This window comes from Homo sapiens, chromosome 9 (genome assembly GCF_000001405.40).
Source record: "Homo sapiens chromosome 9, GRCh38.p14 Primary Assembly".
NCBI classification, from domain to species: Eukaryota; Metazoa; Chordata; class Mammalia; order Primates; family Hominidae; genus Homo; species Homo sapiens.
Genome location: NC_000009.12, coordinates 77274424 through 77291474, shown reverse-complemented (window position 1 = coordinate 77291474; position 17051 = coordinate 77274424). Strand labels below are relative to the sequence as shown.

At 35.4% G+C, this 17051-nt stretch overlaps 1 protein-coding gene across 4 annotated transcripts in view; it reads right to left on the bottom strand.

Moving 5' to 3' along the window:
* Positions 1–17051, bottom strand: part of VPS13A (vacuolar protein sorting 13 homolog A) — a 244004-nt gene that overhangs the window by 130063 nt on the left and 96890 nt on the right. For 3 of the 4 annotated variants that reach the window (NM_033305.3, NM_015186.4, NM_001018038.3), the window contains exons 25-31: positions 15823–15977; positions 15254–15410; positions 11237–11316; positions 9549–9608; positions 9201–9354; positions 8004–8120; positions 7825–7928 (exon numbers count right to left, since the gene is read on the bottom strand). In NM_033305.3, coding sequence (NP_150648.2) covers positions 7825–7928; positions 8004–8120; positions 9201–9354; positions 9549–9608; positions 11237–11316; positions 15254–15410; positions 15823–15977 — 827 coding nt within the window. The remainder of the gene's footprint in view (positions 1–7824; positions 7929–8003; positions 8121–9200; positions 9355–9548; positions 9609–11236; positions 11317–15253; positions 15411–15822; positions 15978–17051) is intronic. The other variant, NM_001018037.2, reaches the window with a different exon arrangement.

Below are 17051 nucleotides of genomic sequence, written 5' to 3'. Positions count from 1 at the left end.
ACCCCAAGCTAATAGCTTAGCAGAAAAGAGGCATCCCCGTTTCCAGACATAAATACTATGATATTTACCTCAGTCTCTATTATGCTATGCATCTGTGGTCCCCAGCCTTTTTGGTAACAGGGAGCTGTTTTGTGGAAGACAATTTTTCCACAAAAGTGGGGCTGGGGGGTTGGAGGGTGGGGAGATGGCTTGGGGATTAAATTGTTCCACTTCAGAGCATCAGGCTTTAGATTCTCACAAGGAGCATGCAACCTAGATCCTGCGTATGCACAGTTCACAATAGGGTTCACCCTACTATGAGAATCTAATGCCCCCACTGATCTGACAGGAGGCGGAGCTCAGGCAATAATGCTCCCTCGCCCACCACTCAACTCCTGCTGTCCGGCCCAGTTCCTAACAGGTCACAGACCGGTACCGTTCTACAGCCCGGGGGTTGGGGACTCCTGCTATGCATGATATGATGTCTGACATTCGATCAATAATTATGAGATGCCCTATAAAAGCAAGGGAAAAAATTCAAGCAAATAATAAAGGAATCAACAGAATCAGACTCATCTATAACATCAATGTTGAAACTAAAATTTTTAATTTTAATTACTATGATTAATATGGTAAAGGCTTCTAGTGGAACATATGCATGAATAGATGGTGAATATTATTATAGCAGAGAAAATGGAAAAAAGAAGAGTCAAAGGGATATATTAAAGATTAAAAAACATGGTAACATAAATGAAAATACCTTCAGTGGGTTTGTCAGTACACTCATCAGAGCCAAGGACAAAATCAGTAGATTTGAAAATAGGTCAAGATAAATTATTTGAATTAAAAGGCACTAAGAAAACAATGGGGAAAAAACTTGAACAGAACATCCAAAGGCTGTGGGACTATAAACAGAAATCCAGCAAGAATTTCAGGAATTCAAGAAGAGGAACAGGGAAAAAGTGGAGGAGGAGAAAACAGGGGAGCCAGGGGGTGGGGGAGAGAAAGGGAGACAGAGGCAAAGAAACTATTTGAAGAAAAAAATGAAAAATATTGAAAGACAGATCCATCCAAGTAGCTCAGAAAAGCCCAAACAGGACAAATATCAAAACACAATTAAACTCATCTAGTCACACCATATATAAATCCTGAAAGCAGTCAAAAAAGATGACCAATTATGTACAGAGGAACAAAAATAAGAAATGTCATAGATTTCTCATCAAAAGTATGTGTAACAAAGAACAATGAAATCACATCTTTTAACAGTTGGAAAGGGGGAAAACACAACCCAGCAAAAATGTCACTCAGAAAAATTAGGGTGAAATAAAGGTTTTTCCCAGCTCCCTTCTCATCTATACCCAAAAAACTGAGAGAAGTCATTACTGGCAGACCTGCATTATAAAAAATGAGAAAGTGCCAGATGCGGTGGCTCACGCCTGTAATCCCAGCACTCTGGGGGGCCTAGGTGGGTGAATCACCTGAGGTCAAAGAGTTCAAGACCAGCCTGGCCAACATGGTGAAACCCCATCTCTACTAAAAATACAAAAATTAGCCAGGTGTGGTGGCACACATCTGTAATCTCAGCTATTTGGGAGGCTGAGGCAGAAGAATCACTTGAACCCCGGAGGCAGAGGTTGCAGTGAGCTGAGATTGCACCACTGCACTCCAGCCTGGGCGACAGAGCAAGACTCTGTCTCAAAAAAAAAAAAAAGAAATGAGAAAGTATTTCAGAGAGAAATACAAACAATAGACAGAAACTACATGAAGTAGTTACAGAAAGAGTTGCAATGAAGAAAAATATAAAACATCTTTAGAAAACTAATTGCTCCAAAGAAAACTGACTAAACCAAATTCAATAGGTACACATTGTGAGTTTTCAACATGCACCAAAGTAAAGCAAATTATGATGATACCAAGAAAGATAGGAAATGGGAATTGGAAGCATGGTATTGTAAGATTCTTACACTATATGTACAACAATAAAATATTATTGGAAGATAGACTATGATTAAAGATATATACATTGTAAACCCTAGAGAAACCATAAAATAAATGATAATTAATCAAAAATCAGGCCAAAAGGAGGAATACAATAGGATAAACAAAATTAGAGAACAGAAAACAATTAGAGATATCAGATTACAATCCAATCATATCAATAATTAGTTTTATAAAATAGTCTAAACACAAATTAAAAGCCAAGAGATTGTCAGATTAGATAAAAAAGAAAGATCTAAATATACACTGACTGTAAGAAACCCATTTTAAGCCAGATGTGGTGGCATGCACATATAATCCCAGCTACTTACTACTTAGGCTGAGGCGAGCTTAAACACAGGAGTTCAAGACCACCCTGGGCAACACAGTGAGACTTTGCATCAAAAAACAGAAACCCACTTTAAACAAGAAAACATCCATTAAAAGCTAAAGGACAGAAAAAGATAGACCATTCAAACCTAACCGAAGAAACCTGGAATGGCTATATTACTACCAAAGTAGACTTCAGAACAAGCACAGTTACCACAGATAAAAAGACACATCACATAATCACAAAAGGGGCATAAAATTCATACACATTTATATGTACCTAACAAGAGATCTCCAAAACATACAAAGCAAAAAACTTAAAGAACTGAAAGGAGAAACAGGCAAATCAATGGTTATAATCAGAGGCTTCAACACAACCAGTAAACAGAAAATCAGTAGCCTGAATAATTCTATCCACCAACCTACTTGCCCAAATGGAACATTCAACCCAGCAAAACACATATTAATTTCAAGTACACTTGAAACATTCACCAAGATTAATCATATATGTTCTGGGCCATAAAACAAACATCAACAAATTTAAACGAACTGAAACGGTTTCTCCCCTGACCATAATGAATTTAAACTAGAAATCAGTAACAGAAAGGGATCTGAAAATCTCAAAATATTTAGAAGTTAAATAACATATTTCTAAATAAACAATGGGTAAAAGAAAGTCAGAAGAGAAATTAGAAAATACTTTGAATTGAATGAAAATAAAAATATGACATATCAAAACTTACAGGAAGCAGCTAAAGCAGTGCTTAAAGGAAAATTTATAGCAGCAAATGCTTACAACAGAAAGACATTCTCAAATCAATAATTTAAACTTCCACCTTAAGAAGAGCATATTAAATCCAAAGCAGGCAGAAGGAAGGAATCTTAAAAGAGCATAAATAAATAAAATTAAAAACAGAGAACATTCAATTGAAACAAATGCCAGTTCTTTCAAAGTATCAATAAAATCGATACATCGTTAACCAGGCTGATCAAGACATAAAAAGACAAAAATTATAATCTCACATGCTAAGAAAAAAAAACGTGAAAGACTACATAACTGCATGATTCCATTTATTTGATACTTTGGAAACTGCAAAACTACAGGAACGAAAAACAGTGCAGTGATTCTAAGGTGCTAGGATGGGGAGAAGGGCTAACCTCAAAGGGCAGTAGTGAATATTTAGGGTTGACAGACCCATTGTATATGCTGAAGGTAAGTTACACAACAGTATATGTTCGTCAAAACTCACAGAATTATAACTAAAAGAGGTAAGTTTTACTATAGGTAAATTGTCTCAATAAATCTTACTTTAAAAAGTAAAAACTAAACCAAAACAGAAACTAATAAATAATTCTACCCAAAGGTTACTGAGGGCCCTAAAACCTCCCAGAATATAGCAAGCACCTTCCTGCTACAAGGCTTTTATAGTTGCTCTTTCCTCCACCTGGAAAGCTCTTTCAACAGGGCTCAAATCCACAGCTCAGATTTCTGTCAAATGTTTCTACTGTAAAAAAGCATTTCTTGATAATCCTAATACGCCACGTGAATTATTACCTGTCACATTACCCTGCTTTCTTGGTTTTCAAAGCACATATCACTCTCTAATATTGTTTTATATTACTGATTAACTACTATTTATTCCACGTGGAGAAGGGCTTTTTATCTTTTGCTGACTATAGTATCTCAAATAGGCCAGGCGCTGTGGCTCAGCTCATGTCTGTAATCACAGCACTTTGGGAGACCGAGGCAGGTAGATCGCCTGAGCTCAGGAGTTTGAGGGCAGCCTGAGCAAAATGTTGAAACCCCATCTCTACAAAAATCAGCTGGGCCTGGTGGCACACACCTGCAGTCCTAGCTACTCAGGAGGCTGAGGTGGGAGGATCACCTGGGCCAGGGAAGGTCGAGGCTGCAGTGAGCTGTGATTGTGTGATTGGAGACAGAGAGAGAGAGAGAGAGAGAGAGAATTTTATGTATATATAAAATATATTATTATATAATATATATAATTAGTTTTTTCTTAATTTATTTACCAGTATTTATACATATATAATTTACATATATATTAATGTATAAATTGTATCTATATAATTATATAAATACTGGTAAATTAGTTTAGAATAAACCGAATAGCCTCTGCATGTCACATGAGTAGGACTATATGACTGTTCCTCTCCGAGTTCAACAGAACAGATTTGCTCGACAGAGTTTAGAGCAGAAAGGCTGTGGTCTAGGAGACTTCAGGTACAGAAAGACGGTTAATAAAACACCATGTTAAAAAGTGGTTATTTTAAGCAAAAATCTATAAACTAAATGATGAGGCCTCCACTTCTTTCAACCAATTGGCTTCTGGAATGTAGGCTGCCAGGCTTATACTTAATAGTATTTTTCTCAACGGAAACTAACTAGCCTAAGAACAAGAGATACTCTCAATCTGAGAACCCATAAAATTGCTAGACCAGTTCCTGACCATCAACTGTGATGTCTACCTGTCCAAAGTCCCTACATAAAGCTTCAAATTAGCTCTGAATGTCTGGGGAAAATGGCAAAGTTCTTAGAAGCGAAAGAAAGTCAAACTGTCATCAGAACTGTCAACACCAATACTAGGCCATAAGACATGGAGTAATATGTTTTAAGATCATCTAGAAAAGAAAATTCAAGGCAAGAATTTAAAATCCAGTCAAACTACCCTGCAAATATAAATAAGGATTATTGTTCCTATGAGCCCTGCCTAAGAAATCTACTGGAGAATAAACTTTTGAAAAGCCAAAATGATTGGTGATACCAGCATAAAGACTGGTGAACTCTCCCATTTAATAAATGAAGAAACGTCCCTACTGCCTCCAGACTTCCTGTCAGCCTCCCTGGTGGGCACCCCTCGAGGGTGTTTTGTTGTGTTGCCTCCCCGATGTCCCATCTGACCAACATGCCTGCAAGCTAGAAAGTGGCTATTTTGGCTTATGGCCACTCTCCAGACACAGACTTCAAGACCAAATTACAGGAAATAACAACAAATAGCTTCTAACATAAAAAAAAGAAAATATTCCAAGACAGTGCAAAACAGAAAAGAAAAAAAAGACAGCTACACACTATGTGCCTCCTATGAAAACACACACTACCAACTATGAAGTATCTTGCCAACCCCTACTCCCAAACCCTGAATCTCACTGTGCCCTGAGATTTAAATACCGATTTAAGGAAACACAGGATACAGTAACATGTTAAATAGCATGAAAACATAATCAGCAAGATACAGGCTATGGAAAATTGTACAGAATAAATAAGATAGCAACAAATGGCTAACACAAGGGCAGAGAAGAAACTAAAGGAAATTCATAAACTATAACAGACTTAAGTGGTATATCAATCAAATGCAGTGTGTGGATCTCCTTTGGATACTGAATGCCATATGGAAAATAAAATAAAGTGAATCCCAGACTCAACTATACACAAAAAATATTTGCACTGATAATTCCATCAAACATTTAAGGAATAATGCAAATTCTATACAAATTTTTCAGAAAACAGGAAGAAAGCATTTCCCAACTCATTTCATGAAGCAAGTGTTGGCCTAATAACAAGGCCAGAAAAGTTGAGAATAATTAGAAAGACTTGTGTACCCATCACCAAGAATTAAGCATTAAAAATTGGATTTTTTTAAGCCTTTACTTTCAAAATATTTTTTATGAAGAAGATATCAGAAACTAATTTACTATGATATGTTTTTCATGAGACTATCAGGTCAGCAAGAATCCTTTTTACCTTATGGCATATATAAATAAAAACAGTATTTGTCCAATGGTGCTACAGTAAATGGAGGATGCTGCTCCAAGACAGAGTCAAACAAATGGTCTGGGGGCTCCCACCCTTAAAGTTGAGGGCCTCAATGTCTCAGTACACTTAAAACTGGCACAATAATATATATCGCTGTACAAGGCTTATGAAACTGATTCATAATCAGGTCTGATTTCATAAGGGCAAAAACCTTATGCCTCTCTGGTTCTTTGACACGTGGAAAGTTACTAAACAAGGCAGTTTGTTTAAAAACCATGTACAATGGAATCAAAGAAACAGGGAAAGGGAAATGAAAATCGTGCAAGAAGACAAGGAGAAAGATTTTTTTTATTTTGTAACTTTCTGTAAACTGAATTTTTAACCTTGTAGATATATTAAAAATAAAATTACAGGCCGGGCACAGTGGCTCATGCTTGTAATACCAGCATTTTGGGAGGCCGGGACAGGCAGACCACTTGAGGCCAGGAGTTTGAGATGAGCCTGGCCAAACACAGTGAAACCCTGTCTCTACTAAAAATATAAAAATTAGTTGGGTGTGGTTGTGCGCACCTGTAATCCCAGCCACTCACGAGGCTGAGGCACGAGAATCACTGAAACCCAGGAGGTGGAGGTTTCAGTGAGCCAAGACTGCGCCACTGCACTCCAGCCTGGGTGATAGAGCAAGACTGTCTCAAAAAAAATAAAAAAATAAAATAAAATAAAATTACAGAGAAAAAAATCAATGGGTTGGATCATGCTCTCAGTTCTGTATAACTTTTCGTAGATACTTTATTTCTGTGAGCTTTACTTTCTAGATAGGGAAAATAAAATGGATAACCTATTTCTTAAATACTCTGATACTTATGATTTTTAAAATAAAAGCAATAGAAGCAAATAAAACCACGGCTTCTGGAAAATTTCTTGTTCCTTATTGCTATGAGTCACTTCTTTTTGATGTTGGAACTGTTTTTCTATCCCACTAAATAAGCCATAACAAGAAGATATTAGAAATAAGAATTTTTTAAACATAAAAATCAGTTCATCACTACAGTATTACTGGCAAAATCTATTTATCTATTTCCTTTCTTCTCAACATATTCCAAATGCTGACTTCCTGACTCAACAAGTACTTCAGTTTTTCCTGATCCTACTATCTGATATTCCTTTAACCTCCTTAAATACATAATCCTGCCTGCTTCAGGTAGGATGTTGCCTGTTCAACTCTGCAGCAGGAACCTCACTGTTTTATAACCAGTAACAAATTACCTAACCTTCAACAACTAATCATCCAGTTCAAAGGACTCTCTTATCATTATTACAACAACGATACTAGTGATCGCTGATGACAATAAGCTTTATAAAAAATCTCACTTCCTCAGACTTCAGACCCTCAAATGTATCTAAAATGCATTACAAGATTCAGAGTACATGAACCAAAAAAAAAAAAAAAAAGTGAAAAAGGTATTTACTAGGTTCTCTCCCAAAACTTTGTTCCTGCAGCATTATTCGTACTTATCTCATTTATGAGATACTGTAATCCTCATTTTACAAATAAAGAAACAGAGTCCAAGATTAGGTAACCTGCTAATGGTCACACAGCTACTAAGGAGTAGAGCTAAGAACCCAATTATGCCTGACTCCAAAACCCATGCACATAATAAGCCATACTACTAAATTCTGACAAATGTCCAAATGATACCTATGACCACTCTTAAAGGACAATCCTATTTAATGATGTACTATTATTTAATTAAAAGAATTCTTACCTTTTTGTATATAGCTGTTATATCAGAATCTAAAACAATTATATTCCTTAGCTTTGCGTTTATTTCAGTTTCTGAAGGCCTCATAATCATCTCAGAATCAAGCCCTAAGGGAACAAAAGAATGACTGCCTTTTCTTTCATTTAATGTCTTTTAATTTGCTTTTTGTGAAATTTTATTACCTTCAATCTTAATTTCAGAAATGTTACATTTCTGATCTTGAATAAAGATCTGTAAACACGATAATTCTGCTAAAATCTGCAAAGTAATGATATCTTCATTTGTGGATAGTTTTAAAGCTGCAAAAAAAAATTCATATTATAAAACATGAGGAAAAACATTTAGTAGTTACCTCACTATACTTATAAAGTAACTGAAATATCACCACAAATAGTGATATCAGAGAAAACCTGATCTGCAATTCAGTTGAAAGCAAGGTATGATATTCCCTACTGAATTGAAAATTCTAAAAAACAATAAAATCTAACAAAAACAAAAGCAAATAGACAACACTGTTTCAAGAAGAAACTAAACATTTGAAACTAAAACACTGTAGCTATAAATTTCAAAATTTTTTGAGAACCAATAATTACTAGGTGATACTTGTCATTATCAAAATTGCAACTTTTCACTGCTTCGAAAGTACTATACTCTGATTTTAAAATATGCTCTGATACTCTTTTTTGTTTTTTTTTTTCGAAACAGAGTCTCTCTCTGTTACCCAGGATGGAGTGCAGTGGTGCAATTGTAGCTCAAAGATCGCTGCAACCTTGAATTCCTGGGCTCCAGTGATTCTAATGTGTCAGCCTCCCAAGTAAACTGGGTCTACAGACAAACACCACCATGCCCAACTAATTTTTAAAATTTTGTTGGAGACAGGGTCTTGCTATGTTGCCCAGGCTAGTTTTGAACTCCTGGCCTCAAGTGATCCTTGAGCCTCAATCCCCACAGCGCTCACCTCCCTGGGTCACTGGGATCACAGGCATAAGCCACCGCACCCAGCTGACAATACTCAAATTTTGTTAGTCATATTTGTCTAATCTAAAATAATGTCATGAAATGCATAAATTTTAATTTAAATCTAATCCTCCTACTGGGAGGTGGAAGAAAAAAAATTTTTTAATCTAATACTCCTACTATATAATCTTAAACTAAAAACAATTATTATATACGATAAACAAAAGCAACATTTTCTTCGCCAGTAGTTTCCTTTATTTTCTAAAATTATCCTGGCATATAATGAATCCTTCTAGATATTAACCTAGGCAACAGAATTCTGAAGCCAATATTTGAAGTTAATAATAAAGTCAGGGTCTAGATTTATTGACCTACATGGTTAAAAAAAAAAAAAGTTGATGCTAAATTTTTAAAAAACATACCTAATTTTTTAATGACATCTCCTTTGTCTTCAGTCTCTGTAGTGGACACTGGGGCTGATTTTTCCTCTGATTGCGGAAGGATATTATGAAGATAATTTATTGTATTCAGAAGTGCTTCAGTGTGTAAATGAATATCCAAAGAGGAAAAATTTACCTAAAGAACAAAGCTGATTTTAGTGATAGGTCAATAAATATTTGCTTGCCAGCTCTCTACAAGGCACTATGCTTTGTGGCATAAAGGATATAATTTATAATATTTTCTTATCTTTAAGGATCTTACAATTCCAGTTAGAAAATAATTTCCATAAGAAATAGTACATAATTAAAAAATAAATTATCTACTCATACCTTAATCAATTGTAAAACATTGTTATAGGTACTTTTCAAGTCGGGTACATTCTTTTCAGCCTATCCAAAGAGAAAACAAATCTGTTAGAACACGTTAGGAAGACATACATATACAATCACATTATAGTCCTAATACACATTTATATAATTTTCCAGCTGTTCATATACATATATATATATATATATACACATATACACACACATATAATTACCTAAATAAGCAACCGCTTCACCAGAACAAAAGAAAATGTAAGTATTGGACTCTCTGGCACATAGCAAGTATTCAATAAATGTTACGTACTATCATTCTTATTATTAAGAGAGGAAATGTTGGATATTATCAAGTGTGGAGAATAATCATTCGGTCATCAACAACTCTGTACGGTTCTTCCTAATTCTTCCTGTATTTAAAAACAAAATTTGTGACAGAATTGTCCACCAAGTATCCAAATACTCTGTGTTTTCTTTTTCTTTTTAAAAAATTTAATATTTTTGATTGACAAATCATAATTATATACACTTATGGAGGACAATGTGATGTTTTGATATATGTACACAATGTTAAATGATTAAATTAAGCTAACTAACATATCTGTCACCTCGCTTTCCTATCTTTCTTTGTGGTGAGACATTTGAAATTCACTTTCTTGGTTGTTTTAAAATAAACAACACATTATTATTGATTACAGTTCCCCTGCTGTATACAGATCTCAAAAATTATTCTTCCTGTCTATCTGGAACTTTGTACCATTTGATTGACAACTCTCTATTCCCTCTCCTTCCCTCCCTCCCATCCCTGCTACCCTCTGGTAACCATCACTGTGCTCTCTACTTCTATAAGTTCAGTTTTATTAGATTCCACACATAAAGAAGATCATGAGGTATTTGTCTTTCCGTGCTTGGCTTATTTTGCTTAGCATAATGTCCTCCACATTCATCTATGTCGACATAAGTGACAGGATTCCCCCCCTTTTTTAAAGCTGAATAGTGTTTCATTTTGTATATATACCACATTTTCTTTATCCATTTTCTTTAGGTCTAGAATACTTTTGCTACATAAAAGCTATATAATGCATATACAACAAAAATCTTAAGACATCTAGTCAATAATGGATAGCAAAAATGGTTTTAAAGTGATTAAATGCTTTCTGCATTATTCTTATTATAAAGTAATTATTAAAATAGTCTGACGCAGAAACACGGAAGTCAGCAGAAACATGGAAAAATTAGAAATAGACCATAGTACATAGAAAAGCTTAACAAACGATAAAATGAATATCATAAATCAATAAAAAAGGAATGGAGTTATTGACCCTAGGAATATCAAGTAACTTCACAAAACAGTGGAAAAGAAAGTGAAAGCATCATCTTGTATCACATAAAACAATACACTCTAACAAGACTAAAAAGTGTGTTTCTTTCTCAGTACCCCTGTTGGGAGAAAAAAAAAATCAAACTCCAGGTCATTTCTACTTAGAACACAATCTTCTTATTTTGCTATATGAAGTATTTATAAATCACAACTATTTAATACAAGATGACAAAATAAAAAAAACCTTAGTATTAGGAGTTACAAAGAGATTATGTTACAGTGAAGATTAAATAAACTGAATAATACCAAACTTACAAAACTTAACATTTCAGCAGCATACTTACCATATTAAGCAGATATAAATGAAACTGCTTACCTTTACATATTCCAGCGTTAACAGGTCTTCCATTGTGTTATCCAGGGTTGTAACCAAATAAACTGGTTTCTTGTTTTCATCTAAAAATAATTTTTTAAAAATTATCTTTTCATCGGAAAGGTAACTGAAAATAAATGCAAGCAATCTTATTAATTATGTAATTGCAAAAGAAGGCTTTCCTATATGAGTTCTGGACCTTGGATTCTACCTCACCCAAGTCAAGTTACTTCTTTGTTCTTTAAACTCTAAAAATTTAATTTCTCCTCACAATTCCCTTACCTCCTCATGTGCCACAACACTGAAGTCTCATACCCTTCTAAACCTAGATAGGAGGTAAGGTAAGAAAAAACAGGAATCAACTAAAGAGAAACTAGAATGGTTTTTAGGAACAATGAAAGGGCAGGAAGAGAATTCTGGCCCTGGATCACTGAAATAACTAAAAAGGAAATCATCAGAGTCCTTGAAAACCCAGCTGTTCAGAAGACAGACCGGGAATGAGATGAAACATTAAGTTTTCTGTATATTAGTTTAGATTAAAATAAACCCTATTACCATGTAATCAGTCTTTATTAGTTATACTGATATGGACAGCAGACAGGGAAATACTGGGTAGAAGAGGGCAGTTCCCCAGCAAAGGCCCCACCCTCAAGCCTAAAAACTGGAGGCCCTAAACGAGAACAAGCATTTCTGTTTTTGCACCTGAAAAGTTGCCTTTTGGCCCACCATACCCACCATCCTGTGCCCATATAAGCCCAAGGCCTTAGTGGGCACAGATACAAGCAGCTGAGCATTGAGAAGAGCAGAGGAAAAGAGTGGTGGAGAGTGGCAGAGAGTGGCAGGGCAGCATGGCAGAAAAAGAGAGAAGAGGAAGGACGTGGACGTCCGGACGCTGGGGTAGTTCAACTAGGGGCTGTCAGTGAAGAGTCCATCTGCTGGGTGGCCCAACCTCAGGGGAAGACCACCTTCCCACTCCATCCCCCACTTCCGGCTCTCCATCCGTCTTGCTGAGAGCCACCTCCACCACTCAATAAAACCTTGCACTCATCCTTCCAGCCCACATGTCATCCAATTCTTCTGGTACACTGGGCAAGAACTCAGGCAGTCACAATGGCCCCCTGCCCTTGCGATAAGGAAGACGGTCTATCGAGGTGATTAACAAAAGCTGTCTGCAGATGGCAAAGTTGAAAGAGCATACTGTAACACATGCCCCTTGGGCTTCAGGGGTTGTAGACACCTACCCCTAGATGCTGTCCTGGGGCCGGAGCCCAAAAGCACTCCCCACAGCCTCTGCACCTGCCCATCTGCATGCTCCCTCTAGGGAAATACACACCCCTGTGGCATGTCCTGCGAGGGGAATAAAGGAACTCTCCCATTTTAATATTACTGCTTCTGCTCAAAATGTGCTATACTAAGAAAACCAGTGTAGAAGAGAATTTATAGAAAGCTTTTAAAACTCTCATCACCAAATGACTTACGGTTGCTAGAAAATTAGTATCTAAAGACTGGAAGAAAGGACTACAAACTAATCCTACAATTCCTGAGAAAAAAATGCCACAAATTGCACAGAGTTCTCCAAACCTAATGCTTAGCACATAAACCTGTTTTCTACTCCAAGTGCTAGCCACACTTGAAGCCTTAAAAAAGTTCCCACTTTGTTTACACATTTATTCATTCATTGAACCATTTACTGATCATTTACTTTGTGCAAGAAACTGCTATTCACTCCCTCTGAGAAAACAGAAACAAAAATATTACAGAAATAAGCGCAATAATAATTGTATACTCTTTTTTCTGTTTGCAAGGGTTTTTTAATCCTTTGTTCTTGGCAAAGCAAACATAAGAATAAACATAAAACTTAATAAGTGTGGCCAGGCGCGGTGGCTCACGCCTGTAATCCCAGCACTTTGGGAGGCCAAGGCGGGCGGATCACGAGGTCAGGAGATTGAGACTATGGTGAAACCCCGTCTCTACTAAAAATACAAAAAAAAAAAAAAAAAAAAATTAGCTGGGCGTGGTGGCGGGCGCCTGTAGTCCCAGCTACTCAGGAGGCTGAGGCAGGAGAATGGCATGAACCCAGGAGGTGGAGCTTGCAGTGAGCCGAGATCATGCCACTGCACTCCAGCCTGGGCAACAGAGCGAGACTCCATCTCAAAAAATAAAAATAAATAAAACTAATAATAATAAAAAAAACTTAGTAACTGCTATAAAGTTCCTGGGTTACTAGGGAACACTGTCACGTTGGTTTACTTTTCTTTCCAATTACTAGAGCAAACTGTTTCTTGATGATTTAGCAATCATGTTCCTTGGTATTTACCCAGTGAAACTGAAAATTTATGTCTACACAAAAACTTGCATTCAAATGTTCACAGCAGCTTTATTAACAATTGCCAAACCGTGGAAGCAACCAAGATATCCTTCAGTACATGAATGGATAAATAAACTGTGGTGCATCCAGACAAGAGAATATCATTCATTGCTAAAAAAGAAATGGGCTGCCCAGTTATGAAAAGACATGGAGGTAACTTCAGCATATATTACTAAGTGAAAGAAGCCAATCTGAAAAGGATATATATGATTCCAATTATGTGACATGCTGGTAAAACTATGGAGACACTAAAAGGATCACCAGTTGCCAGGGGTTAAGTGGGAGGGAGGGACAAATAGGTGGAGCACAGAGGATTTTTAGGGCAGTGAAACTACTCCACATGAGAAGGTAATGGTAGATGCATGTCATTATACATGTCCAAACAGAAGGTATAACAGCAACAGTGAACCTTAATGTAAATTGTGGACTCTTGGTAATTACGATGTGTCAGTGTAGGTTCATCAGTTGTAACAAATGTACCACTCTAGTGGAGGATGTTGATAATGAAAAAGGCTATGCAGGTGTGGGTACAAGGAGTATATGGGAAATCTCTGTACCTTCTGCTCAATTGTCCCATGATCTAAAACTGCTCTAAAAAATAGTCTATTTAAAAAATTTTATTTCCACCTCTGCTCATACATAATATTATTATGCTACAAAGGAGTTTAATAAAATGAAACTGGTGTCCTAATAATTGCCTCTACTATTCACAATTATCTTTCAAGGAAAAATCCAAAAAATGTAAATGAAGAAATATAAATACAACCCTCCTAATTACCTAACATAGGAAACAGAATAGTTTCTTAGGGATCATATATCCATTACGAACACAAAAGGTTTGCAGTAAGGAGAATACTGCCCTCTGCCCCCAACAAAGATACCTACGCTCTAATCCCCCGGAATCTGAGAATATGTTAACTCATATGGCAAAAGGGCCTTGGAAAATGGGATTAAGGTTAAGGTTAAAGGTATATTATCCTGAATTATAGAGGTGTGTCCAATCTAATCACTGGAGTTTTAAGAGTGGAAGCAAAACACAGAAGAGGAGGTTAGAGATATGGCAACATGAGGAGGATCTGATGCCTTATTGTGGTTAGCAGCTACGTGCAAAAAAGCAACTGAGGCCTAAGGGCAGCCATCCGCTAACAGGCAACAAGGAAACATAGACTTAAACCATGTGTAAATGAATTTTGTCAACACCTGACTGAACAATGAAATGGACCCTCCTCTAGAGCCTCCTAAAAGGAAGTCCTACTGACACCTTGAGTTTTGCCCAGTGAGACTTGTGTCAGACTTCTGTCATACAGAACTCTAAGATAATAAATTTGTGTTGTTTTTAAGCACTAAGTTTGTGGTAAATTGTTATAGCAACAATAGAAAACTAATTAAGTGTTCCAATACTCAGTTAAGTAGATTTAAAATTCAACCATTATCATCTGATTTTCCATAATGAATAAAATTATCTTCATTTTATCTCCGGTGTGCCCCCCACATTACCAACTATAAAAGTTAAAGATTAACTCAAAAAGGAATGGTTCTCTGAGAATATTTCAGCAAATGTACTGATTCAGAGCCTAAAGAATTGAAAACTCTCTAGCAGGTAGTCAAACAATGAAATTAATTTATTTATTTTAAAAAATAGAGATTCTTACCCAAGTATTCTGGGCATTTTAAGCAGAACTCTTTCAAAAAGGCATTTGCTTTCAAATCGTATGTTCTAATCTCAATTTCTGCACCCAATCCTAAAACAAGAATTTCTACCACAGATAGTTCACAATCTCCAACAAGGTGATAAAACTCGATCAAAACCTGGAGAAGAAAGAAAAAAGAAATTACCACTACATAAAACAAAAACATGTTTATGTGCATAGTGGTTACATGTGAATATATGAGGTATACATACAATTGATATATTATTATTTAAAATTTAGGAGAGATTTTATACCCACACAGACATACAATACACACACAACATAAATAATCGTTTTCACAAAAACATGTACTGAATAAATTTAAATCCTTCACTCTTGATTAAGGAAGTTAATCTTATTTAAAAAAAAAAGGGGGGGGCGGGGAGTGACCAAGAATCACACAGCAAGTCTGGAATTACTTTAATTAGGGTGAAAAAGATAGTGCTTCTTAACAATGAGACTATATAGTAAGCTGTAAATATAGAAACAGCAAACAAATTAAGCCATGTTAATTTTACCGTAGTACCTACCTTTGGTACTTCAAATCTTATTTTAAATGTAGTCATATTTACTGAACAATCCTGCTTTTGTAACTTTCTGGTTCGAATACTTTTAACTCCAGTTGGAAACTGAAGAGGTTCTTCCAAGGGACTACATGGTGCATCAAAAAATTCCTCCTCTGAATCTACATTTCACAGAACATTATTTAAGTCAATAATTAAAATGATCAATTTAACAGTATTTCAATAGAAATAAATATGAACACTAAAACACTAAGGCTCTCTTTTAAATATCAAATATTAACATGAGAACCGAAATAAACAGAAAATAATATAGACATTACTGTACTTTTTTATTGTCCATTTTAAACAAAGGGATACTCTACTTTTAAATAACATTCTTGGTTATAAAGAAGCATGGAACATTATTAAGATGTAATCTTTAGCTTAAGAAGCCCATCTTTTGAAATAGTCTATTTTAAAATTGCTTAAATTTTACAGGAAATGCCAATGCCGATGATTATACACACCATGAATACTCAAAGTAATATGTTAATATGCTCACTCTACCTGGATAGTGTAACAGGACTTAGGTATAAACTCTGCAATATTAGCAGCAGAGTCTGAATGAAGTAAACTGAGATCAAGCACTACTTTGTATACATATATATACACAAATATAGGTATATGTACATATACGTTGATATGTAATACACATCAGCATACACATATGCTGATATTAAAAAGGACTGAAAAAGCATTAGATAACTTAGTAAAACCATTAAAACTAGGTTTAAATGAAACAATCAGAAGTATATCCCTAATAAACTAAGACTGAAGTTAAAGTAGATGATCTCACAAACAACTTCTCTCTGGTGACTATAAATAAAGAAAAATTGTTCTCTAAGAAACCAAGAATCGACATGGCAGTTTCTGTTATTTAACATTTATCAATTTTTAAAGTCTTAAAAATATAGACATACACCTTTTCTAATACGGTCATTAAAAAGCACATATTTGGTATCAGAATAGTTATATATTTTTATATGTAAATGTAGATAATTATTGATGATTTTCCTTTAATAATTATATTTTTAAAAATGTTTTAAATATACTATAGCAAAATTTTCCAAATAACTAAAAAACACATTAGAAATTAAGACATCTGTGAAGTTTTGTGGTGTTTTTTAACTCACAGCCAAATAAAGATAATTAACTTATTAGTGGTCCCTGTCATTTTTTTTTTTTTTTTTTTTGAT